Source organism: Homo sapiens, chromosome 18, assembly GCF_000001405.40.
Source record: "Homo sapiens chromosome 18, GRCh38.p14 Primary Assembly".
Classification (NCBI taxonomy): domain Eukaryota; kingdom Metazoa; phylum Chordata; class Mammalia; order Primates; family Hominidae; genus Homo; species Homo sapiens.
In genome coordinates, this window is record NC_000018.10 from 45,587,275 (window position 1) to 45,612,415 (window position 25,141).

Sequence of the window (25,141 nt, forward strand, 5' to 3'; positions counted from 1 at the left end):
GTTAAATTATGCACTCACAAACTCAGTATGTTAACTATACTAATAACACAGTAATGGCTTGCAAGGTGCCAACACACAATCAGTTGCTTTCACCAATACATCAACACCAGGGTTGAGAACCCCGTTCCAGGATACTTTTTGGGGCATATGGTTAAAAAATATCTTATTTGGCCCTTCGATTATGTCCTCTTGTCTATTTTTTATCCCATGAACCTAAAGGTAGTTTCCCAGGAGGCAAGAACCACAGCTTCTCCTCCTCTGGTCTAGTTCACTGTCAGCACCAGTGGATAGATGAGCAGAGGGTAGCAGGATCTGAGATACAGAACCTTTCAAGGCACGAGTTGGCATCAAAACCTGCCCTTATGAGGCTGTTGAGCCAGAAGAGATCTTGGAAGTCACTTAATCCAGCTCTCTGATTTCCCAGAGAAAGAAACTGATGCCCAGGAAGGTGAAGTGACTGGCCTAAGACCACCCAGCTAGGAAAGGCAGGTGAAGATAGTGAGGCCAAGAAGCTATGTGTGGAAGCTCCCACCCTCACCAGTTCACGGTCTGCTATATCGGTGTTGAAAAAAACGCAGAGGGCACAAACCTCTTCATCTCATTGCAATCCTCATAGCCATCCTAGAAGTCAGAAACAGATGCCACCGCTATCCCCATTTCATAACTAGAACAAACAAAGTCCAAGATTCTGCCTAGTGGTTTGGACCATATGTTGCAGGGGGGCGCTAGGGCAGCAGGGAGATGATTGAAAATGCCGGATTGACCCTTTTTTTAATCCTTGAAAAGGGGAATGCTGAGGTGAGGATGATCATGGAAAGACTGTCATTCAGAGAAGAATTCAAATTCTTCTATGTAGCTCCAGAGGCAGAATGAGGACCTGGGCCCAACAGGAAAGAGAGATGTCTGATCACTAGGGCTCTCTGAAAATAGAAGGAACTGGCTGGGGAAATGGTGGGCTCCCAATTTCTGAGATGTCCTGGGCCGAGGCTGGAGGTCAGTGAGTCAGGGGCACTGCTGAGAGGACTCCAGCTTCAGGGGCAATTGGACTGAATGGCCTCTGAAGTCTCCTTCAGGCCTGATATGTAACAATTCTGTTTACAGGGGACTTGGCAGTGGATTCTGTCTCATAAAAAGAGTTTCTCCCACCCACATGGCTGGAGGCATTCTCCCTAATGAAGTCATCCCAAAGGACTACAGCTGAATGTCTTCCAACCCCTAAGGATGGGATGAGGAGAAATGACCTTAAGTCATGTGACATCCATCGGCCCTGTGAAAGACTTCCTATGTTGTGAGCTTAGAGGTAGGGTGCAGCTGCCAGAGGGTGTTACTAAAACTCCTCTCTGGTGATCTCTGAGGAGAATGGGGATACCCACGGTCCTCACGGCTTTGGATAAAGCAGTGTGCAGGCAGGGGGATTGATTTTGTGACCTTTCCCAGTTTCCTCCAGCCTGTTCCAGCTACAATTCTACGATAAAAGCATTAGAGGGCCCAGAGGTGGTTTAGCCTCACTTCTCCCATTCTGGTGATTGAAGACATTTTTTCTAAAACCCTATAAACCCTAAACCGTAATTCTTTTACAGCAAAGGGAAAGACAGTACAGTCATGCACAGTTTGAAGCAAGGGAGTTACAGGGAGAGGTGAAAGGGAGAGGAAGGTCTGTTTAGATTGTGGTTGTCTTTTTTTGTTTGGGGTTGGTGGGTGGGGGGGGGTGTTAAATGTGAAGTTTGATGACTGAACAAAGAGAGCAAAGGAGAAAAAATGTGAAAAAACTCAAACCTGCAGTTTTCTGATACACAGAAGGGAAACCCAAACTCCACTCATTATGGCACATATTTATGGCAGATCATAACATTAAATTACAACTCGGCGGCCTCGGCCAGGACTGTGGAGTTCTTCCCATGTGCTTCCAATTAAGCCTGTTTGAAGTTGCCCTGGATATTTATTTGTAGGGGATTTACTGCACAGAACGATTAAAGTTTGTTCTTGTTAAGAGTTGGGGGCTAGTTTTGGGGGTGGGGAGCTGGAAAGGAAAAAAAGCTGGAGAGAGAAAGGGGGGCTGCAAGGTACCCCAAATGAATATACGTGTATGTCTTAAAGTGCACACAAACACACACACAAGGGCCCTTTGTTTTCAACATGGTGAGGGGCCAACATCTCTGACTGTGATTTTGTTTATAGGAAATCCTTTATAATGCACGTTTAGTGTTTCCATATGGAATTCTCATAGGACATTTCCCCGCACCACCCTCCCCACTCCCCTTTTTTTATTTGGATAAGGCAAGAGAAAAGGGACTGTACATTCCAAAGATTCATAGTCATTCCGGATCAAATTCAATGGATTTTGGCAAGAGTTGAAAAACCCAGATGCAGGGCTTCAGCCTCCCGCTGAGCCGCCTCCAGCTGCGAGTGTCTGGTGGAGGCACTTTGTAAAATCATGAAAACCCTATTAAATTCATGAAATATGATATACTGTCGTTTCAGACTAACTTTCCATTGAACTGTCCATGAAGAGAGAATTTGGTTAACTTGCTGAAGAAGAGGGAAGTGGCAAGGCTGGGGCAGGGAGGGGAGGAGGGAGGCGCTATTGAAGAAAGAATGCAAAGAAAGGTAAGGAATTCTGAGGAGCTTGCAAATTTCTGTGTCTGAGCGTGAGAGCTCCTTAGGACCCCAGCAGAACTGGGCTTTCTTGAGGTTTGGCTCTTCTCAGAAAATGAGGTGGTCGCCATCATTCCTCTCCCAAGTGGGTGAATATCTCATTTTGACCACTTTAGCTGCTGGGATGATTTGCTTCAGAGCGCATGAGACTCCAGCAATTCTTTGGCAGACATTTAGGTTCTGCCCCACCTTGTCTTCTAGCTGAGAGGCCAAAGGCAGAGAGAGAAAGAGGGAGTAACTTGCCCAGGGTCCAACAGTTTGAAAACCCAGAGTTCCTGAATCCCAGTTTGGCTCTTTCCATCAAAGCATGTCCCTTCCCTGGATAAATGAGATAGAGAGCTTCACTGCGGGTGCTGGCTCTCCTTGCCTCAGATCAGAGCTGCTGACAACATTGTTTTTTGCATAAACTCACAGGCCCATACTCCCCCCAGCTATGAAATGGTCCATCCTAAAGAAGTTGGACAGTCTTAGTTCATTTCCCACTGGACTATAATTCACATCGTAAAACTATTGCATGTTTATTTTCAAACAGAACAGGGTGAGGAGTCTCTGGAGGTGAATTGGTTTTGTTTTCTGGAAACCGCCACAGGACATGGGCAATTGCAGGAGCTCACGTGTGTGTACAGAGTTTGTCTTGCAGAAAGCCAAGCGGGGCTCTCCTTTCCCAGGTCTTGGCACCCTAGGGGTCTAAAGTCCAGACCCCTGGAATGTAAGGGCAGACAGGAACATCAGGACCCACCTGCCATTCATGCAAAGGCCCTGAAGTAGGAATGTCACACCCTGCAGTTGGCAGCATCTCTGACCCAGCTGCCAGGGACAGCTTCATGCCTAGAAAATTATCAGAGTAAAAGCTGACATTGATTGAGTGCTTACAGTGTGCTAAGGCACTGTTCTAAGGCACTGCTCTAGACATGGATTAAATCACTTCATCCTAACAACCCTGCAACGTAATGATATTATCCCCATCTTGCAGATGACAAAATTGAGGCAAGTCGCCCAATGTCTCACAACAGACTAAGATCACATAACCAACATGAGTGACTGAGCCAGTATGTGAACCTCAGCATGGGTGCTGCAGAGTCTGAACTCTCAAATTGCCACCACCCTCCCCACTCCCAATCCCACCCCAACACACAGACCTAAATACCACATGTCAGTCACTGAGGTCTTAACTCTCCCTCTTCTCACCCCCATTGGAGGTGTATTTTTTTATTTAAAGTTTTCCTACCCTCTCCTTACTCTTCTGATATGCAAATATCCCTGAGGGTGGTAATAGCTTGTTACTAATAATCTAAGCCAATGCTTCTCCAACTGTAATGGGCATACACATACCCCCAGCAGTCCTGTTCAAATGCAGATTCTCATTCAGTAGGTCTGTGGAGGAGTCTGAGATAACAATATTTCTTGTTTTGTTTTGTTTTTTTGAGATGGAGTCTCGCTCTGTTGCCCAGGCTGGAGTGCAGTGGTGCGATCTCAGCTCACTGCAACTTCCGCCTCCCGGGTTCAAGCAGTTCTCTGCCTCAGCCTCCCAAATAGCTGGGATTACAGGTGCCCACCACCACACCCAGCTAATGTTTTTGTATTTTTAGTACAGACAGGGTTTCACCATCTTGGCCAGGCTGGTCTTGAACTCCTGACCTCGTGATCCACCCACCTCGGCCTCCCAAAATGCTGGGATTACAGGCATGAGCCACCACGCCCAGCCGAGATAACAATATTTCTAACAAGCACCCAGTGCTGCTGCTGGGTCATAAAGTACACTTTTGAGTAGCAAGGCTCTAGGCTATTTACCTGATTGCTTCTCTCCACCAAAGGAGACCCCACTATACACTAAGAGTTGTGGGTACATGAAATGAAGACACATGCAGAAAAAGGGACCTGGGAGAGCCAAAGACATTTCATCAGTTTCACAGCTGTGGTCCAGGCTAGCCCATTTGCCACCCATCAGTAGAGCCACTAGATTTCCAAGCTTCAAGTGCCAGGCACTGGTAGACATGGGGAAGCATGCAGAGTTTTTGGAGCCCTGAGAAGCCTTTTGATTTTAACCTCTTCAGCAGCATGCAATAGCCAGATGATACAGGAACAGAGAGTCCAATACCTCTATACCCATGGCAGGGCAGTAATATATATACAGTAATCACTGGGGTCAAGAAGAGTCAGCATCAAATCCCTCCCTTCCATCCTGGGGGAAAGGTTGCTTACCAAGAGGAATTGGCCCAGCGATAGCAGTTTCCACCTTCTTGCTGGGAGAATTAGGGCAGATATTTAACCTTTATTTAACTTTTCTGTTTCATTTTTTTTAATGTAAAATGAGAAAATTACACTAGATTTTTCAACCTCTCTTCCCTCCTCATCCCCAATCTATGAGTCTATAGAAGCCTATATAATAAATAAAAATCCACCAACTCTCTGGATGTCTCAGTATTCTGATGTCATTGTTGCCAATACCATGCATCAGGATATCAGATGGAACTGGTTGCATTTCCACCTGGAGGTTGAGTGCCATAAAAACATAGCTTCCACACAACCCTAAGCGCCCCATTCCCAGTCCCATCTTGGGAAGCAGATGCAGGAAAGTTCGTTTCCCATAGTGGCCAAGCATGCTGCCTGAGACTCAAGACTAGAAGGCAGTGGTCTAGTCCCCAGAGCTCTGCTTCACAGCCAAAACACACTGTATTATATTCCTACCAGCTCTGAATGCCTTGCACAGCCAAAAGGTACAGGCATTTGAGAGCAGCAAGGGGCAGCACTTGATCCCTGGCCTGTTCTGTCTGGCTGTCTCTGGCAATGGGAAGCCAAGCACCATGGCCTAATGAGGGCCTGGGAGACCCAGTAGACAGTTCAAGTCCAGCAGAGCCAAGCCCAAATCCTTGCTCTCCCATGTCTGGGTTATGTACTTGTAACTTCTGTTAACTCTTAAGGCAAAGAGTAGGTGAGCAATAATGTAAAGCTATTCCTCTGAATGACTGTTGACAATAAATCAGACACTCTCTGGATTTGCTCTCCAACCTGATGGAATCCAAGGGGATCCCTTGGAATCTGCGTTGTCAAACAACTAAAGATCCAAAGTTCTAGACCAGAGCTGTCCAATAGAAATAACATGTGAGGCCGGGCGCCGTGGCTCACGCCTGTAATCCCAGCACTTTGGGAGGCCGAGGCAGGCGGATCATGAGGTCAGGAGATCGAGACCATCCTGGCTAACATGGTGAAACCCCATCTCTACTAAAAATACGAAAAAATTAGCCGGGCGTGGTGGCGGCGCCTGTAGTCCCAGCTACTCGGGAGGCTGAGGCAGGAGAATGGCGTGAACCCGGGAGGCGGAGCTTGCAGTGAGCCGAGATCGCTCCACGGCACCCCAGCCTGGGCGACAGAGCAAGACTCCGTCTCACAAAAAAAAAAGTGAGCCATCAATGTGAGGCAGTGTGAGCTGGTGCGAAGGGACGTAGGCTAGAGCTCTCCCATCATCTCCTACAAACCCCCAAACAATAATAATATTAATAATAGTGAAATCCCAAGAATGACATTCTGAGATATGATAACTAAGCATTTCCTTAATCTTTTTTTTTTTTTTTTTTTTTGAGACGGAGTCTTGCTCTGTCGCCCAGGCTGGAGTGCAGTGGCACGATCTCGGCTCACTGCAAGCTCTGCCTCCCGGGTTCACGCCGTTCTCCTGCCTCAGCCTCCCAAGTTGCTGGGACTACAGGTGCCTGCCACCACGCCCAGCTAATTTTTTGTATTTTTAGTAGAAACGGGGTTTCACCGTGTTAGCCAGAATGGTCTCGATCTCCTGACCTCTTGATCCGTCCACCTCGGCCTCCCAAAGTGCTGGAACCACCAGTGTGAGCCACCGCGCCCTGCCGCATTTCCTTAATCTTACCTAAAGGGTGAATAAAAGGATTTTTAGAAAACTATGCTATTTGTATTGATCTCTAGTATTCGAGCTAAGTAAAAAATATACAATACAACTCTTAAGACATTAGCATTTTCCCCCACTTCTGGCCAGACCGTCACCCCTAAGCTCCTTCAGTAAAAATTTCTGTAACTATAACTGACCAGTGGAGAGGCCAGTGGGTAACCCAAAATAGCACCTGCCAGAGTTTCTCAACCAGTGAGGTGTTTAGTGCTGCTTACTTTTTAAAAATTTGATTTGAATGAGGAGAGGACCTTGAATACTAGAGCACAGGGTGCTGGGAGGATACAGACTGCAAGAGTGCAAGGTTTGGGACATAGGGTGCTGGGGGACAAGAGGGAAGGGTTAATTTGTATGGCACACACTAGTCACTGCTACAGCAGAGGATTTGAGAAGGACCACAAGCACGCAGTACCAGGATGCAGAGTATTAGGAAATGCACTATAGCAATGGGATGTTTAAGTGTAAGACACATCAAAGAATGCTTGGACATTAGATGTGAGGTTCAAGGGAATCAGGGCATGGAGTCTGGGGAAAGCAGAATTTGAACAACCCATAGACTCATCTGGTCAGAAAATGGCACCGCAGGTTTTCTCCGTGAACTTCAATGATCACCTGCCAAGCTTTCTTTGATCTTCATTTGACTGTTAGGATTGAAAGGTTCAGCTTGTCCCTCTCTCTCTGATCCCCTCCTCTCCTTTCTCTCCTGGACCGGTCATTACCTCTGTGAACAAAAGGCATCTGAACAGCAGGGCAGACCCAGGCAGAGTGGGCACAGCCGTCCAACCATCCAGAAACTAGACCCATCACAGCTCATGGCACCTTACTTGTCTCTTCCTTGTAAAAATTGGGATACTATTTTCTAGCCTGATAGATGGGAGGCTGAACCAGATGTCTTCTAGCTCTAAACTCTGGAACTCTTGGAAACAAGTCAGAACTCTAGAGCCTAAGTCTTGTTACCAAAGTGAGATTCTCCCACACAGATTTCATGGTTCATCACTATCCTGGCTCCACCACCCCCAGCAGCCGTCACACCCTGGTCGGAACAGAATCCCACCAGGCAACTACGCATGCCACACCTGCACAACTTCCCCACCGACCCCCAACCCCTGTGAGACTTCATCCCCTTCAGAAATGACTGCTTCCTTCTCCGGAATGTAATCCTTTCCTCTTTCCAAACCCTACCCAGACATTCACTCTGCCATGAAACCTTTCCACATTAACCACCCGGAAATCCAACCATCTCATTTACTCAACCATCTCAGCATTTTCACCTCCTTGCACAACTGCCTTTTAAAACCGTTTTCTTGTATTATAAAAATAATAGTATGCTTTACACCCTTTCTGTGTGTTTGCATACATGTTAGAGTACTAAGCTTAATGTTACGCAAAAAGCAGGGTCTCAGTAAAAATGGGCTAGAAAAATGATCTTCACAACATCTCTGTGAGGAATTAATGATAGTTAACATTTATTTTGCACTCCTGTGCTAAGCAGTTTATACGCAGTATCTCATTTCATCAATAACCCTGTAAGGTAGGCATGATTTGTATTCCCCATTTTGCTGGGTTTTTTTTTTTTTAAGCTGAAGCATGGAAGATGCTAAAATATAGGCAATCTTACTTCAAACCCCACACTTTTGCCACTGCATTTAGACTGTCTTTCCACTTAACCATTAAGTAAACTGGGGTACGCAGGCATTAAGTGAATTACTTGAAGTCACATGGTTGGGGCTAGAAATTGTGTACTCTCCACCAGGTCTCGTGGCCTCTTTCAAGCTTTGCAATTAGATTCTCCTTTCCATGTGTGCCTGAAACAGCAAAGACTGTAATGCCAGGCAGAGCCTCTATTTCCTAGGAGGGTTGCTGTGAGGATTAGAACCAAGAAATGCTCTCAGACATGGCCTGGCAGGTGCTAGGTACTCAGCGGCAGCCTTTGACCTCTTCCCTGCTCCCCGGCTTCCTCACTTCCACACACTCCAAAGCCTTGAACGTCCTTGTTCAACTCAAACTCTGATGTTCGGAGCGAACATCAGACTCAGCTGGCTGCCCCCAGGGTGTTCATTGAGGAGGGTCCCCCTCTCAAATCATGAAGCTGCAGTGCAGAAATGAGGTCACAGGGCCCACATTGCTCATGCTTCCTGGAGCCCTACTGCTGAGTGGTACGGACTTCATCCAAGAAAAAGAAAACCACCCAGTACGGACTGGAGGAAAGCATCTGTTCCATAAAGACCCTCCCCTTCCTCTGTTCACAAGGCACCTCTCCTCTCTAGTCTCCCTGTAAACTCTGCCTGTGTACCCCAGTTGCCCTCTCCTATCTTGCCACAGTGGCATAAGGCTAAATTAATTAATGTGGGTAAACCATGTGGAAAGGCCTGGCTTGCCAAGTGCTCTAAGTTTGAAATACTATTGGAAGCAGTGGAAATTGGCACGGCTACCTAGAACAAAATTAATCTCACCCCCAGGACTCCTGAGCTTGAATTTGGTTAATGGAGGCATGCGCAGCTAGAACACGATCTTCATTCAAAACACTGTGGGTATATTTCAAACTCTTATTGGGGAACAGGGAGATATTACAATTAAAAGGGAAGGAAGATGGCCAGAATGGGCATTTCCTGTGATATATGAAACCCAATGGGAATTACCCAGGAGTTGAACAAGAGAAGGGGATAACTTACAAAGTGAGGTCTGTAGGGCTATGTTGGTTTGGGTGTCTCTGGGAGACAAGAGTCTTCCTACCATGGCAGGTGTGCGTGTTCCCATCAGGAAGGGCAGCTGGAACTCTTGGGCAAAAGCTGAAGCTATTGTTCACATGCAGAATTTCTATTTTCTCAAGAAAGCTTTGGTGCTACTTTTCAGGCTTTTCAACTGATTATATCAGGCCCATCCAGATCATCGAAGGTAATCGCTCTTAAAGTCAACAGATTATGAAACTTAATACAGCTACAAAGTACCTTCCCATACCAACACCTGGATCAGTGTTTAATTGATCAACTGGGGACTGTGGCCTCACCAAGATGACACAAAAACTGCCTTCACAGCTGCTCTGCACTCCTCACCACTCAGCCCCCACCTACCTCCTCTACCATTGGACCCTTTTACTGCCTCTGTGCTTCTATGATGTCCCATCCCCTAGAAATGGCCTTTGGGCCATCTATTAACCAATCCCATCAAAACCTCAGACAAGTCTCCAAAGAAGGTTGGTTGCAGCCGGGCACGGTGGCTCATGCCAGCACGTTGGGAGGCCGAGGCGGGTGGATTACTTGAGGTCAGGAGTTCGAGACCAGCCTGGCCAACATGGTAAAACATGGTAAACACCATCTCTACCAAAAATACAAAAATTAGCCAGGCGTGGTGGTGTGTGCCTGTAGTCCCAGCTACTTGGGAAGCTGAGGCAGGAGAATTGCTTGAACCCAGGAGGAAAAGGTTGCAGTGAGCCAAGATTCTGCTACTGCACTCCAGCCTGGGCAACAAGAGTGAAACTCCATCTCAAAAAAAAAAGAAAGAAAGAAAGAAAGAAAAGAAATGGAGTTTACAGTGACAGTCTTTTATCCACCCATTCAGTAAATATTATTTGATTTTGGCATTTGTTACAGACCCTGCTCTAGGGAAGGCCTCATCCCAGTGACTACCTGGTAGTTCCCCAAGAATGTCAGGTAGTGGTGAGTGTTTTGGGGAAAACGGTAACTAAAAGGGTTGGAAAGTTGGGGGATGAAGGCAGGAGGTAAAAGATGATATCAGAGAAGTGGCCAGAGGGCAGGTCATGGAGACCAGTAGGACATGGAAGGACTTTGGCTTGTGTCTGAGTGAGCTGGGAGGTCCCTGCAGAGGTTTTGAGCAGGAGAGGGACTCTGCTACATATTCAAAGGAACGCTTAGGCTGCTGTGTGGAAAATGGACTGAGGGCAGGCACAGGAGGATGCAGAGAGACTGGTCTGCAGCCTATTCACCTAATCCAGGAGAGGGATGGTGGTGCCTTAGACTCAGTCACTTAGCAGTAAAGATGATGAAAAAAGTACATTCCAGATATAATTTAGAGGTGGCATTAATAGGAATTGCTGGTGCATTGAGGTGTGGTGTGTGAAAGAGGCCTGAGCCACCAGGTAAGTGACAGTCCCTTGTACTGAGACTGGGGAGCCTCATGGGAGGATGGGTTGTGGGGAGGTGCAGGCCAGTCATACACACCCAATCAGAGGTTCCCAATACATTTTGCATTTTACTGAATGGGACTTTCTACAAATGGGCAACCCACACATTCACACAACAGTTACAGCTCACACGTACTGTACTGTAGAGACCCGAGGCCCAATACCTCCTCAAGGGCCTTCTAGTCAAAATGGAGCCAGCCAGCCCCGACTGTTAGCGTGTCTGTGCCCACGTAGGTTATCTCTGTCTCATTTTACCCATCAGAATAGATTACCGAGAAGCTCCAGTTCCCTGTTTGAAATGATCTCTCTGTAGAAACAAAAAGACATTCAAGACCCGAGGGCTTCAAAGCAGTGGAGAAGGGGAGGGAGAAATGACATGGCACTGCAGCTTGGGTCTGCTCAGGAGAGTGGCCCCAGCATTTCTCCTACAAATTTCTTAGGTGGGCTACATGGACGGCGCTGCATTATGACTGGCGAGGGTCCTAGACGCTTTCCTTTTTAAGTCCCTTCCTCCATAAAAATAAAAAAAATTATATTTTATGACTGTGTTGGTATTGAGATAAATATAATGCAAGCAAGATAGTATGCATTTTTTTCTCCTGATTTTAAAAAGGCATTTTTATGGGCCCCTAAAAATATCTTGGGCTATAGGCATTGTGCCTCCTGTACCCAGTGGATAAGTTGGCTTTCTGTCTAGGAAGGAAAAGAGGTGGGTCTGCATTGGCGGTGGGCATCAGGGACCTGGACTCTTGTCCTGACTTTCTAACAATTCGCTCTGAGACCTCCAATCAGTCCCTCCACCACTCAAGGCTCCTCTTTCCTTATCTTTCTAAGGAGCATCTTTCAGCTGCCTTCAGGCAATAATTCCTCAATATTCTAACTAAAGCACGCAGACCGCTTGCTTCATTTTTAACTTTCTTACCCCAAGGGAAGGCTCTTCCTCCCAAGTATAATATTAAACTCGTTTTCTCTTTCTGAATCTTCTTCTCTCATCAAATCATGTGCCGGTATATGCAGCCACTGGTTTCCAAAAAGAGGCCATAAAACCATGATGAGTATGAAGATACCAATGTGAAAATGACAGAGAGAAAGTCATAAACATTCAAATAAATATATAAATATAAACAAGTCTATAAACCAAACCCTGGAGGCATTTTAAACACATAATGTAGCGTTTATATCTCTTACTTTGCACAGCAGAACTTTCAAAGGAATTTCATTTAATTCTATTGCTCACACCCCTAACCCCCATCCAGGAGTAATCGCTAATAACCAGCACAATTACTGCCTCCCTCTTGATCAAGGGTTCATTTCAGAAGCTGATTCTTGAATTCATTATCCTGCTGGCAATGAGTTGAATCACAGCGGATGTGGCCATATGACAATCCCCCTTGCTCTTCTTCCAGTTAGGTTCAGCGAGATGCCTGACAGTCCTGGCCGCGACCTGCTCTGACTCTTGCAAAAGTAGTTACCTTTCTGTTACCTGGCCCAATTTAAAGAAGTCAGTCAGGACTTAGGAAGTGAGCAGACAATTCTGTTTTGTGATGGGCTTGTGAATGGAGGGACACCCTACCATGGAACATGATTGTGTCTGTCTCTCTCCAGAGTGCAGGGAGCATGACCCAGCCACTCTGCACCTCCGGCAGGGACACGGGTAAAGAGGACACTGAGCAGTGTCTGAGCAACAGGCACTGTTCCGAGCCTGTATTAGTCTGTTCTCACACTACTGATAAAGATATACCTGAGACTGGGCAATTTACAAAAGAAAGAGGTTTAATGGACTTACAGTTCCATGTGGCTAGGGAAGTCTCACAATCATGGCAGAAGACGAGGAGCAAGACACATCTTACATGGATGTCAGCAGGCAAAGAGAGAGCTCATGCAGGGAAACTCCCCCTTATAAACCATCAGATCTCGTGAGACTTATTCACTATCACAAGAACAGCATGGGAAAGACTTGCCCCCATGAGTCACCAGGTCCCTCCCACAACACATGGGAATTCAGGATGAGATTTGGGTGGGGACACAGACAAACAATATCAGAGCCCTTCTCAGGTACTTGCTCATCTGATCCCCACAACAGCCCATGAGGTAGATATAGACCCAGCTACAGGATTTATGGGTGCAAAATGAAAATGTAGGGCGCTTGTTAAAAAAGCAGAGAAAATAAGAGGCAGTTAAAGATACTAAAATATAAAACTTGTTTCTTTCTTCCACGAGTGCTCTTTTTCTCTCTCCCTCCCTCTCATGGTGTTTTTATTTGCTACTTATTGTCATACTGCTTGGGACACAAAAATACTTGCTAGATGAGTGAAGACCATCACGGGAACCCAGGGGTTCCATCCTGCAATTCAGTGTACTCCCAAATGGCCCACTGGCCACCAGGTCCCCCCAACACACACACCAGCCATCAGACTGACCTGCTGTACCCAACCAGGAGTGGAGAAATTGAGTCAGGCATCCCTTCTTCTCACAGGCCCTCCACCTCAACCACAACACACAGTGAACAGGCAGCCTCAGGGTATGGTAATCTTGATGCCAGGATACACTTGGCACCAGGATTGGGCTAAGATGCTGCAAGGTACATGCACTCAACTCTGACCCTCACCTGTGCACACCTCTGCACAGAGAGCAGCAGCAGTCACTGGGTAGGGGGCAATGAGGAAGAGGCTGGGCAGGTCCTTGGGCTCCAAGAGGTGGGGAATAGGCACTCAAGAACCATGAACCAAGGGAGGCAGCAGGAGGTAGGACTGAGTGTGAGCAGAAGATCTAGTGGCTCGTGCTCCATTGTCCCACTGGACTTCCCTTACAAAACGCAAATTCAAGCTTTTAAATAATTGAAAATATTTGAATTATTGTGAATTTCAAGATGGTGACTGTAGAGCCCTGTTTATACAGGGCCATATGCAAATTGCACTTGTTGCAGGTCCATGAAGCCAACCCTGAGTCAATTTTATGACCATCCTCATTTGAGGGAACTCATGCTCTGTATTCTGCCCAGGGTCATAATGCAGTGAAGTAGGATAGGATGGGAGGGGGGACCAAGACTCAAACTCAGTCATCTGCCTCCAGAGCCTCATCCTTACCACTTCCCTAGGCTGTCCCTTATTCCACCAAACCTGACTGCCTCCCCTCAGGATGATCAGTGCTGCACCACATGGTATGGTGGAAAAACAAAAGAGAATGCGCGGCCCAACCTACAGCTTCATTCTAACTGGCTACCAACTGGCTTCATGACCTTGGCAAGTCACTTTACTTTTCTGAGCTTTATCCTAACTTACCACATGGAGGTGCTGCAGAGAAAAACCCATGGGGTCATAAAGGTACAATTCTAACAAAGCCTTTAGTGTCTAGTGGGAGAACCTTACTAAGCAGATCCCAGATCTCTCTGTCATCTCCTCCTTTCCTAGTCATTTCCCCACCCCTCTGGGCAACTGACTGAATGTCCAAGAGGACAGTGTGCATGCTCTACCATCGAATTGTTCTATGGCCACATAGTAAGAAAGGGACAAGGTTGGATCCATTCACCACTCAGAGCTATAATATTTTCTGGGTCTGTGTACAACTACTTTGACTTTGTCATCTTAATTCCAATGGGGTTTTTCTTTCCCCTCTATCTTTTCAGTCCAACTGGCTAGTGCTCTCCATTCATGACCCAGAAGGAATCTCCCAGCTGAGCCTAACCAATGTTTTCTAAATGAACATCATTGAGGAAAATTCTGACAATGCTTTTTTCTGAAATCAATTGATCAGACTGGCCCATTAATAAGCATTGACTTGAAGGGACTCCAAGTCTGTAGCATGATGAAGCAACACCATGGTGATCCTCAATCTTTAAGTCTTTTCAGCTGAACTATGGTGACTTACACTTCCTTGGACAAGATTGCAAGCATTTTCTTTGGTCTTATCCAGGAAGCATCTGCTTAGGCAGGACTGGCTGAAAGATGTGAATGGTCAGAGCCTTTGGCATTGGCCATTCTGTCGGGTGAGGGCATGTACGGTTGTGCATGATGCCCAGGGGTCTCCTTCTTTCTGGGATCCAAGTCCCACTCTAGGAATACTCATTCACTTCCCAGATTAAGCCAAAAATATGCAAACTCCACCAGACCTTCAGTTCTAAACCTCAGTCAAAGAAGCTTATTTCATAAAATATCAAAAGGCCATGGATGAGCCATACAATGGTAAATAGATATGAACATTAAAGGAGATAGTGTGTGTGAAGTGCCCAGCACAGTGTCTAATACACAATAGGTATTCAACTAATGTCAGTCCTTAATGAAAATGTCATCTCTCTTGGAGAGGGTTAGTGAGCAGAGTGATTTGTCACTCATTCCTTATGGAGATTGGATATCTGCCCTGGAGAGGGATAGAATGAGGGCACTGGATACCCTAATGAAGGTGGAAGAAGATCTAAAAAGGAATTTGAAGCAGGGCAAGGAGGCAGGAGCAAAGATTACAGAAAACTGAAAAGCCACTTCACCTACTGTGTGGCTTTTCCATGGATGAGCTCTGGCCTCACCCCAAGGGTGGAGTTAGCATAGGGGTCTTTGGTGTGATGTGAAAAACACTTTCACCCCCATACTCACTTCAGCTGCTCTACCCTCTGCAGAGACTTGAAACATGACTGTGATGGGGCAAAGAAGTTGGTCTTTCCTTGAAAAACTCAGACCCTTGCAAGAGATCAGAAGATACAAAATTTCACTCAGGCTCTTTCAAAGAATTCTCCTCTTTTTGTATCTTAAGGCCAAAAGCCTTCTGCTTCCTTGTGGTAAAATGCAGACACTTGTGTGCTTTCTTCAAAGCAAACACTCCCCGCTGATGGATTCAAACATTTTGACTGAACTCATTCAAATTCCCATCAGTTTAGCCAATTGATGTCATCTCAAATATCTGTCAGCACAACCAGCCAAGTCGATTAGACACCTGGTCTTTTTAGTTAGCTAACTTGTTATTTCCAAAAACAAAAATAAAAAATCAAGATAAAAATAACCCATCAATTTAGTTAGCAACTGACTGATAGATTCTATCAAAAAAGTACATTTTGTCAAACAATTTTGCTTTTTTTTCACTGAATCTACTGAATCAATCAGTTGTTGGGATAGAGTGGTATTGAGCAGATGTGTCAGCTTGCTGAACAAGCAGGGAGGGGAACATCACAAATGAATCATCACAAAGATTCCATCAGAATGACCACTGCTCAATCATTCACAACAGTGAGAAATGGAATCCTGGTAAGTGTACAACAGGTGATCCCCAATCACAGCAATTTTGTGCTTTGAAGAGCATTTTTCTATTCTTTCTAGAAATTTGCTCTTCCTGTCTCTTGTTGGTCCATAATTGATAAGAACATGCGTGTGGTTTCCCAGAGAGTGGTCTGATCTTTGTCCTAGATTAACCATTGACAATCAACAAGCAGATGACAGAGTCACTGAAAACTGAGAGTTCACTGTATTTATTGGGGTCTCTTGAATAGTGTATTACATTGAATTAATTCTGAAAGATGTGAGTCCTACCCAAGACCAGAGAGTTATGATAAATTCAGTGGTTGATGTAGTCTCTAGGGTTACAATCAGGGTATTTCTTCGTCAAAACTGAAACCATTATAACTAGCCTTTTCTATTCTCCTCCCTCTGCCTTTACTCTTTTTCAACCCTCGGCTCTCATCCCCTCTCATACAGCCCCTCCCAGGATGCCCAGAATCCTAACAGTGTGCCAGAGCTCTCCCAGTGGAGGAATCATCTAATAGACTAAGTCACCCTAAAGAGTCATTGACTTGATGTGCTAATTCTTACCAGGGGTGCTTGTTTTTCAAAAGAAGATACCTGAAGTGGTCTGTGCTTACCCCAAAGGAGTGAGTCACTAATGGCATAATTTCAGATGCCAGGTAACTGGAGAGGGTCTAAGAGTCAGAAGACATGCTTTTAACAAAACTATGTATTTGAAGAACAGTCTTACTTAGAGAACCAGAACATATTTACTTTCAAATGTCTTCATACATAATTAAGTGGCTCACTTTCGTTGGATTCAAATTTTCCATTGGTCAGATTTTCTCCTGGTCACAGACACTTCTGCAACAGGAATAAGCTGATTATTTATTACTAGTCACTCACACCTATAATTCACTTTTCCAATTTTTCTCTGTTGCCTATGTAGTGCCATTTTGTCAATCCCCGTGGTTTATTGACTGAGTTTTGATGGCTGGGGTAAACAAATTACTTCAAGAATGAATATGATGCAAAAAAGTCATTTCTCACTGCGTTCTAAATGATGAAATTGGTGTGAGATCCAGTTAATCCTAATGTCAGGAAGCCATTCACCATCATGTGGAGGCATGTTACCATAGCCTCCTATCAGCAGCATAACTTTGTATGGTACATAATATTTACCATTTTAAAATTCTAAGTAAATATCTGACAATATCCAGATCAAATGATTTTGCAGTTAAAATACTCCAAATCATGCAGTCTACTCCTTTAAAACCCATTGAAAATATAGCGCAGAGAAACAACTCTGCTTTATAAATGCATCAGGAACATCAGTAACAAACAGGTCCACATTCTTATGTTATATCAGAGGATACATATGGGGTCTAGTGAAACTCTGCACAGTCAGAACCAAGCATGTGCCTACTTCAGTGGTCTCCAAATTTCTTTACTGTGCAATTCCATTAGAAAAATATTTTTGGGCAGTCACCCCCAATATGTTTCTTTAAATATAAATTACATATGTGTACATACATCAGCTAATATGTCAAGGCACAATGCACACTTAGGTGAGGGTCATCTTTAATGTCAATGAATGTAAATCCTTGTTTAAAGTAGACTTCACAGTTTTGGCATTTTGGAGGGCCTAATCTCATCGTGGCTGATTAGATTATCATTGCCTTTACTTTTACAGTGTAGGTGGTGATGAGCTCACAATCAGAACAAAGGAACCAATAGCCCTACCATTTTTGTATAAATTATTTGGGCTTCTATTAGTCTTCTTTGCAAGACTCTGATTAATATGAGTGTCAATTTTGTGTACATCCTTCTGCACAATGAGGCTTCCACTCTTCCCCGCAGTGATCATCATCATAATACAATATTGATAACCAATAGGAAGCACTAATCAAGGCAGTCTGGCTCCAGGGCCTGCATGAGCAACCACCAGCATCTTAACTTTGCAATGCTGATCTTCACGCACGGTAGACAAGGACCACATGTGACAGGTAACAACTTGAAAGACAATCCTAGCCAGGCTAGTAAAGCTTGATTTCCTTCTTAACCTCTGAATAAAAATATACATAAAAGTTCTAATATTTTCTACCCATGCACTGATGGACTGTCTCATGTACCCCTCAGGGCAAACTCCCCACTTTGGGGACCACTGGTTTTAGTTCACCTTAAAATATAACCCCCTCTGGAGAAGAGGGTGAAGATGCCCACTGACACAAATCAGACTTTATGTTCTGCCAGGACTTTTGACCTCCCGGGGGCACAAAGAAGCATTAAAGAGTCTTAAATGAGAGGTGATGGGATTCAATGATTAGATCATTATTCTGATTGCGGTAAGAAGAATGGACTGTGGAGGATGCACAGATAACAGGAGAAATAATAATGGTCTGAGTTAAGGTTGCAGCCTTGAAACTGGAGAGAAGTGGGCAGAATCACAAAATATTAAAGATTTGGTTATTAATTAAACTTGACCAAGGTTAAACAGCTGGTAGGCAGCAGAGCTAAATTTAGATCCCAGGTCTCCTCACTCCCAATGCAATGATTTTTCTTCTGATTTGCCATGTCAGAGAACACCTGGTCCCTCCATTTTATCCTCTCCCAGAAAGATAGGTTATCAGGAGCCTAGCATGGAACAGCAGCCTGCAGTCTCCAGAAGGGTGATGAAGGAAGGCTACAGGAGAGGAAATGCACTGCCTTTTCCAGGTACATTTATCTTTGCAGGATCCATGAGACCACTACATGAAAATCTGTTTTCGGGGTATTGAGTTCCATACTGAAATAACACATTTCCCACTGACAACAAACAGAAACTCCAAGTAACTATTCAAGTCCAGACTTTAATAAAAACCATAACCCATCCAGCTGGAGGCGGGGAGGTGATGAGGAAGTATCAAGTTGGGGGAAGGAGAAACAGCCCCTTTTAATCACTCCCACCAGGGAACCCTCATCTCTCCTGGGCTATTTGAAATCCTTACTCCTTTATGCTAAAAAGTTACCTCCTCCAAAAATTCCTTTCTAATTATTCCATCCCTCCCCTCCTCTCCCCTGCCCCAATCTCATGTAACACTATCTGGTTCCTTTCTTATGGCATCCATCAATGAGAGTTCAGCATAGGAAACAGAAATCACTACAGGTATTTTAAGCAGAAAAAGATTTAATAGAGAGATATAAGGGCTTACAAAATTTGGGGCAGGGTTGCGGGAGGGAGCTCTAGAGGTGGGTCGGAAATTACTCCTGGAACTCCGCAAAACTGATCTACCATAAGAGCCACTACCTCCAAGGCCACCACTGAAACTATTGCATTCAAGAACCCACCACTGTATTCTAGGAATCAGTCAGCCACAATCACGATGCCACTGTAGTTACTGCTTCTCAAACCCCGTAAAGCTGGTGGCTGAGCACTGAATGGCAAGAAAACATATGCCCATGACCTTACTTTCATCAGAAAATAGCCAAAAAGAGCAGGAAAAAATCTTTTGTTTCACTCTCACCTTCTAAATTTTACCTAAATGCCTATAACTGACAAAGTCTAATTAAAAAAAAAAAAACAAAACAAAAACAAAAAAAAAAAACACTGGCTGCAAGGAATGCTAAGAAATCTAATTTTTAGTTATCTAGCCTCTTGGGTATAGTAAGGTACACTAGGAGGAGGACTGAGCAAGCCAGGCTCAGGTTCCGCCACAGGAATTTTCCACATAATACATCCTACGTTGTTTTTATGTGTCTGATCATCCCTCAGTTCCTGGAGGGCAGGAATCATGTATTTCCCATCCTCAAGGCTACAGACATTGCAAATGAGAGGTTCTTGCTAAGGATAGACAAATAATTAAATGATGGAACACTTCGACTGTTTTAATATTTTCTTACTTTGCTTTCTGATTTTTTTTTTCATGCATTTAAATGTTGTCTCTGCATTCAATCTCGCTGAAGGCAATGTTGGTTAAGTACTTCTTGGGTATGTCCCCAAGGGGTAGCCAGAGGGTTTGGTATGTAATTCTTCAATTAGTGGGTTGTGTCTTCAAAACCAATCCCCAGTCAGGGTTTTTTCCCCTAGAGATATTTATGCCCCATAAGACTCAACCAATAGGAAACTAACTTCCTGCAAAACTGTGAAACCAACAGATCTTTCTTACATGGTCTGTCATCCCATTTTGTCAGCAGACTACCTCCAAATTTATAGGCAAGTGCTCTCTACATGATTCTACATGGTTGCTAGGAAGGATTAAATAAGATAACATAGGTACCAGTACCTACCACATAGTTGGTACTCAGCAAATATTAGTTACTTCCTTTCACCAAGAACCTTTTCCTCCATAAAAAGTATACCTTTTTTGGGTTCCTGCTAGGAGACCACCTTATCTGATCCTTAAAGAGCTATTAATGGCTAATGTATTCATTATCTATCAAGGTGTGACAAATTGCCCCAGGTGTGACAAATTGCCCAAACTTAGCAACATAAAATGATAAACACTTATTATCTTCTTAATGTCTCTGGACAGGAATCCAGGAGGAGCGTAACTGGGTTTTTCTGGCTGAGGCTCTCTAATGAGACTGCAGTCAAGATGTCAGTCAGGGCTGCTGTCACCTGAAGGCTTGACTGGGGCTGGAAGATCCACTCTCAAAGTTGCTCACTTACATGACTGGCAAGTTGATGACAAGAGCTCTCAGTTCCCCTGTAAGGAACTCCATAAGGTTGCTTGTGTGTTGTCATAACATGGCAGTAGTTTCCCCCAGAGCAAGTGACACAAGAGTGCCTCTCAGTCCTTGAAACAACCAAAAGATTCTCTCCAATGCCTCCATTCTCTACTCCTACCCTACAGTGGGAACTGCTATGACCCCATTCCTGGGCATTAACAGTTACTTTCTGGTTTCCGTTAGAGTACGATGAATTTTTTCTTGTTCACTGTTGAATCCCCTGTGACTGGTACATAATAGGTGCTCACCAAATGCTTTTGAATGAACACTATCTGGTACAGGATGTGCTACAGAGAAATCGGTGCTTTAGAAAGATTAACCTTCCAAATATTTACTTCAGCAGATCCACTCTCATTAAATCCCTGATGGTTGGAGTCTTTAGCACTTGTGAACAACCCCAGAAAAGATGGGAGGAGAGAGGTGAAAACTGACACTTGTTGATACCCACTATATACAGTACACTGGGCCCTCTGTGTGTTGCCTTACAAGGCAGTTCTCACCATCCCTGCCTCATGGATTAGGAGGATTCTGTGCCCAACATGGCTCCGGAGTAAGTAGAAGAGCTGCAATTTGGCTCTTGGGTCCATGCTCTTTTTGTTCCAACTGCTATGACCGTCCCAGTGCGTTTTGCTCATCAACACTCACCCTCCTTTTAGAAAACATATCTTCAGAGATTTCACAACAAGCTCAATTTACTTTCCAGTGATGTCCAGACAAATTCCATCTTTTCAGAGTTTTGGCTGTTTAAATATAACCAACTTATCTGTCCCATTACCTCAGTCAAGCTTCAGAGGATTTAGACAACAAGCATCTTGGCAAATGCCTTCCAGCCACTTCCAGCATGCACACATCCCTTAATGCTCAACTAATGCAACTCTAAGTAGCTTCTTTGGGAAGTAGCTTCTTTGGGAATGTAATAAAAGCTCATTTTGTAAATCTGGTTAGGCGTGAGGGGGGCATGGAATAAAACTGGAATTTGCAAAGTTCTTCCTTCATGCCAGGTCCCCTCTGCATTTTCTCCTTGGGTAGCTGGTCCAGAGGATGTCTATTTCAAAGTCTAGCTGGTTTGCCAGGAGCCACAGGGCAATGGAAAAGAAGAGCCCTAGTGTTGCTTCTCAGGGAAGATTGTTGCTTCATCCTACACAGGATTCTGGGAGGAGGGGAAGAAGCCCCACCAGGGAGTCTTTGGAGGCTCACAGGCTGTTGCCCCCTTCAGAGTAGGGACAAATGGCTCAGGAGCATCCATCTGTCTCCCTGTCTCCCTGCTCCCATCTCCTCTTTAAGCTTGTTTGGCTTCCTTCTTGGCACATCCCTTCCTGCCATCACACCTACTGCTCCTGCACTGTGGCTTCATTTTCTCTCCTCTCCTCCTTTACCTCATTTTCTCCTTATTCTCCTTCCTTTCTTTCTTGTATCTATCTAAAACTTCCCAATCCTTTCACTCTTTCATTCCTTTGTGCCAATCATAACTACATTATTTCCCTTCTCACTACCTCCACAAAATGTCCCTTTCCACTCCAGGTGAGGCTTTTTATGTCTTTTCTTCTTTGGTAATGCACAGTTATTATTCAACTACTTATGGTTTTTACTAGAGCTCTCCATTAAGGCATCCACCACCCACTGCCAGCATTCCTCATTGGAGTTTATACCAAGACTCCATGAGGGTACCACAATTAAAGCCTCCTAAGTTTGGTTCACCTCAACCTAAGTCCAGAGGGCCCATGCTTCTGTTCCCATCAGGGTTGGGCAAATCAATAACCGATCTGTCTCTCCTCTCTATTCTCTTGTGTGAGTTTACAAAGAAAAGGTGAGCATTTCATTTAGCTATTTCAGTAACTGAGCAAGACTCCATTTCCAAAAGTGATACACTTTTATTTCTGAAATTGTGTACCACCTATAACTAGATTCCTCAGGAGCATGCCATTGCTTCAACCCTGAGCAGGCTGCTTAGGAAGCAGTGATTTAAATTCCACTGGCCAAGACACAAGCTGAAAAAGACTGAGGTGCTTGCCATTTCCTTTCATCTGGAGATGCAGGATGCAAATGGCATTTAATTAAAGTCATAAATCTAGTTTTTGTTTAGTTGGTTTTGCTGTTGCTAAATCTAATCTGATTTTGCTTGCTTACTGAATGCTTTGACCACTAAGCAAAAATTGTAAAATAAATGAAGATAGTTTCCAGCCCCTCTCCCACCATCCCCTCTCCCTTCTTATAGCTGTCTGCACCCCAGCACTGCCCCATTACACCCCTGAGAAGCCTGTGTGCAGACCTGAGTGAGCCCAGGAATCACCTAAGGTGTTATTCAAAATACAGATTCTGTTATGGGGGTGGGGCTGAGAGCCTGCATTTCTAACAAGCTCCCAGGTGAAGCTGATGCTGAACCCTCATTCACCTGGAGTAGCAAGGGCATAAAATGTGTGCAGAAAGAGCATAGACAGAAAGATCTAGGTCAGGGTTTCTCAATCCTGGCTGAACATTACCATTACCTAGGGAGCTTTTAAAAATTCCAGTGCCCGGGTTACACCAATTAAGTCAGAATCTCTGGGGAAGGGACCCGGTCATCAGCATTTTTTAAAGTCCCTAGATAAAGATGACTGTGTGCTGTCAAGATTGAGGATCTCAGTTCTCAGGGCTTCAAGGAAGGAGTGTTCACATCCACTGAACACTGAAGCTGAAAGGGAAGGGGAAGGCATTCTAGAAACAAGGCTGTAACTGAACTAAAAGGAACCCCTGTCTCCTGGTAGGTTTCAGCTCTTGTCAATAGACCAGCAGGAGGCATATGTTGGGAATGGTAGGCTTTGCAAAACTCTGTAATTCCAACACCCCATGGAATTCCAGACTGGTCTAGTGTGGCCACACACATCCATTGATGGTCTTCTTTCACCTAGAGGTTTGTTTTGCTCTAACCCTGGTCTTCCCCAACACCCACAGATCACCAATGAGGTGGCAGCATCACCACCTACTACCTGTCAGTCTTCCACCAAGTCAGGATAAAAGCATGACTTAGGGTCTTCTTGTACAGAAAATGTGTGCTGAAAGCCAGTTTTAAAGGAGTGTAGGTTTACTGCCTGCGATGACCCTAAAACACATTTTGCCAGGATGAGAAACACCACGTAAGGCACAGAGGATCGGCACACCCAGGTGCTCCACTAGGAGAACTAGGGCCCATCAGCTGGTGCTTAAGAAGACCTGAGATTCAACACCAGCCCATTAAGCATTTTCCCTACCCTCACCAAACACCAGCCTCCTCCCATTCCAAACACCCCCATTCTGACTGCAAGTTATCCTTTTCCCCACCAGGAATACCTTTAATAGTCATCTGACTCCGAGCTTTACCTGAATAAGAAGCTCTTAGGACAGCATCTGATGGTATCTGTCCCGATTTCTACCCCCTCCCAGGGACAGCCCTTCCTCTTGACTCCAAAGCCATGTTGTTCTTAGAAAATAAACATCTGTGCAGGAAAAGGGGATCAAGGTTCTGTTGAAAAGGAAGAAGGTAGCTCAAGGGCCTAAAGGACATGCCACACTGAGCCCTTACAGAGGTCAAGTGCAGGAGAAGTGCATCCTCACCAAAAGGAAGGAGAAGGTCTACATACCAGCCCAGCTTGCACAAAGGAAGACCCAGCTTCACACCATGGCACAGCACCTGAAAGGAGACGTGTGTTTATACACATTGAATCCAAAGACAAAAAGCTTAAGCTACATAAGGCCCAGCTCTAGGGAGAAGAATTAAGGACTCACATGCCCACAGTCATTGGATGAGGGAGAGAACCTTAGGGAAGAGTCCAGGGCCCAACACAAAGAGGTTGGGAATGCTGTTGAGCAAAGAAGGCTGAGACAGTCTTAGCTCCTGTGTCAACTCACTGTGTGGCCCATGAAGCAGGTACCCTCACATCACTGACCCTGCAAAACAAGAAGAAGAGCACCATCTATAGCTTACACCCCATCATGAGATTGATTGAGGAAATAAATTCAGTTTGAGGAAGGAAAGTGCTTTGTAACATATAAAATACCATGTGCATGGTGACTTCAAACAGTACAGAATTTGTAAAGTTCATAGTCTGCAATCTTCAGTGAATACTTCACTCATTCATCAAATATTTATTGAGCACCTATTGTGTACAAGATGCTATACTTCAAGAAAACAAGGAAATTGCCGATAAGGGGCTCCTGGCTGTCTCCTAGAGATGAGACATATACATAAACAGCAATGACAGATAGCTGAGGCCTGGAAAAGGAAAGATAAAGAGCTCTCAAGCAGTTGCTGCTGCTCCCAGCCTCCATTTAAGGTGTTTACTCAGAGATCTTCCAGCCCAAGGTCAACAGAGAGAACTGCCCAGAGCTCAGTGGGAAAGAGCAAGGATGGCTCAGACTCTGCGGGCTGGCAAGATAAGCAAATCAGCTGGTCAGAATATTATGTGCCCATGACATTCCAACATGGCAAGGTTAACTTCTTAGAACATGCAGAATAGCATTTAAACTCCTTACCCATCTCTCTACTGCCTGAATTCACTTTTGATT

The 25,141-nt window shown here is 44.8% G+C and overlaps 1 protein-coding gene and 1 long non-coding RNA gene across 6 annotated transcripts in view, besides 1 other annotated feature; one reads left to right on the plus strand and one right to left on the minus strand.

The window, feature by feature from the left end:
* SLC14A2 (solute carrier family 14 member 2) overlaps positions 1-25,141 on the plus strand; it is a 515,726-nt gene that overhangs the window by 419,312 nt on the left and 71,273 nt on the right. The gene's annotated exons all lie outside the window — the stretch shown is intronic.
* Positions 1,108-3,490: an enhancer, noted in NCBI's record as "VISTA enhancer hs1440". NCBI's record gives its function as "enhancer in: hindbrain (rhombencephalon)[4/5] | limb[5/5] | branchial arch[4/5] | other[5/5]" and the evidence as "EXISTENCE:transgenic organism evidence [ECO:0001131][PMID:17130149]".
* LOC105372093 (uncharacterized) overlaps positions 19,062-25,141 on the minus strand; it is a 176,501-nt gene continuing 170,421 nt past the window's right edge. Inside the window, exons 9-10 of the long non-coding RNA XR_935423.3 lie at positions 24,362-24,523; positions 19,062-24,266 (exon numbers count right to left, since the gene is read on the minus strand). This is a non-coding gene — a long non-coding RNA (uncharacterized LOC105372093). The remainder of the gene's footprint in view (positions 24,267-24,361; positions 24,524-25,141) is intronic.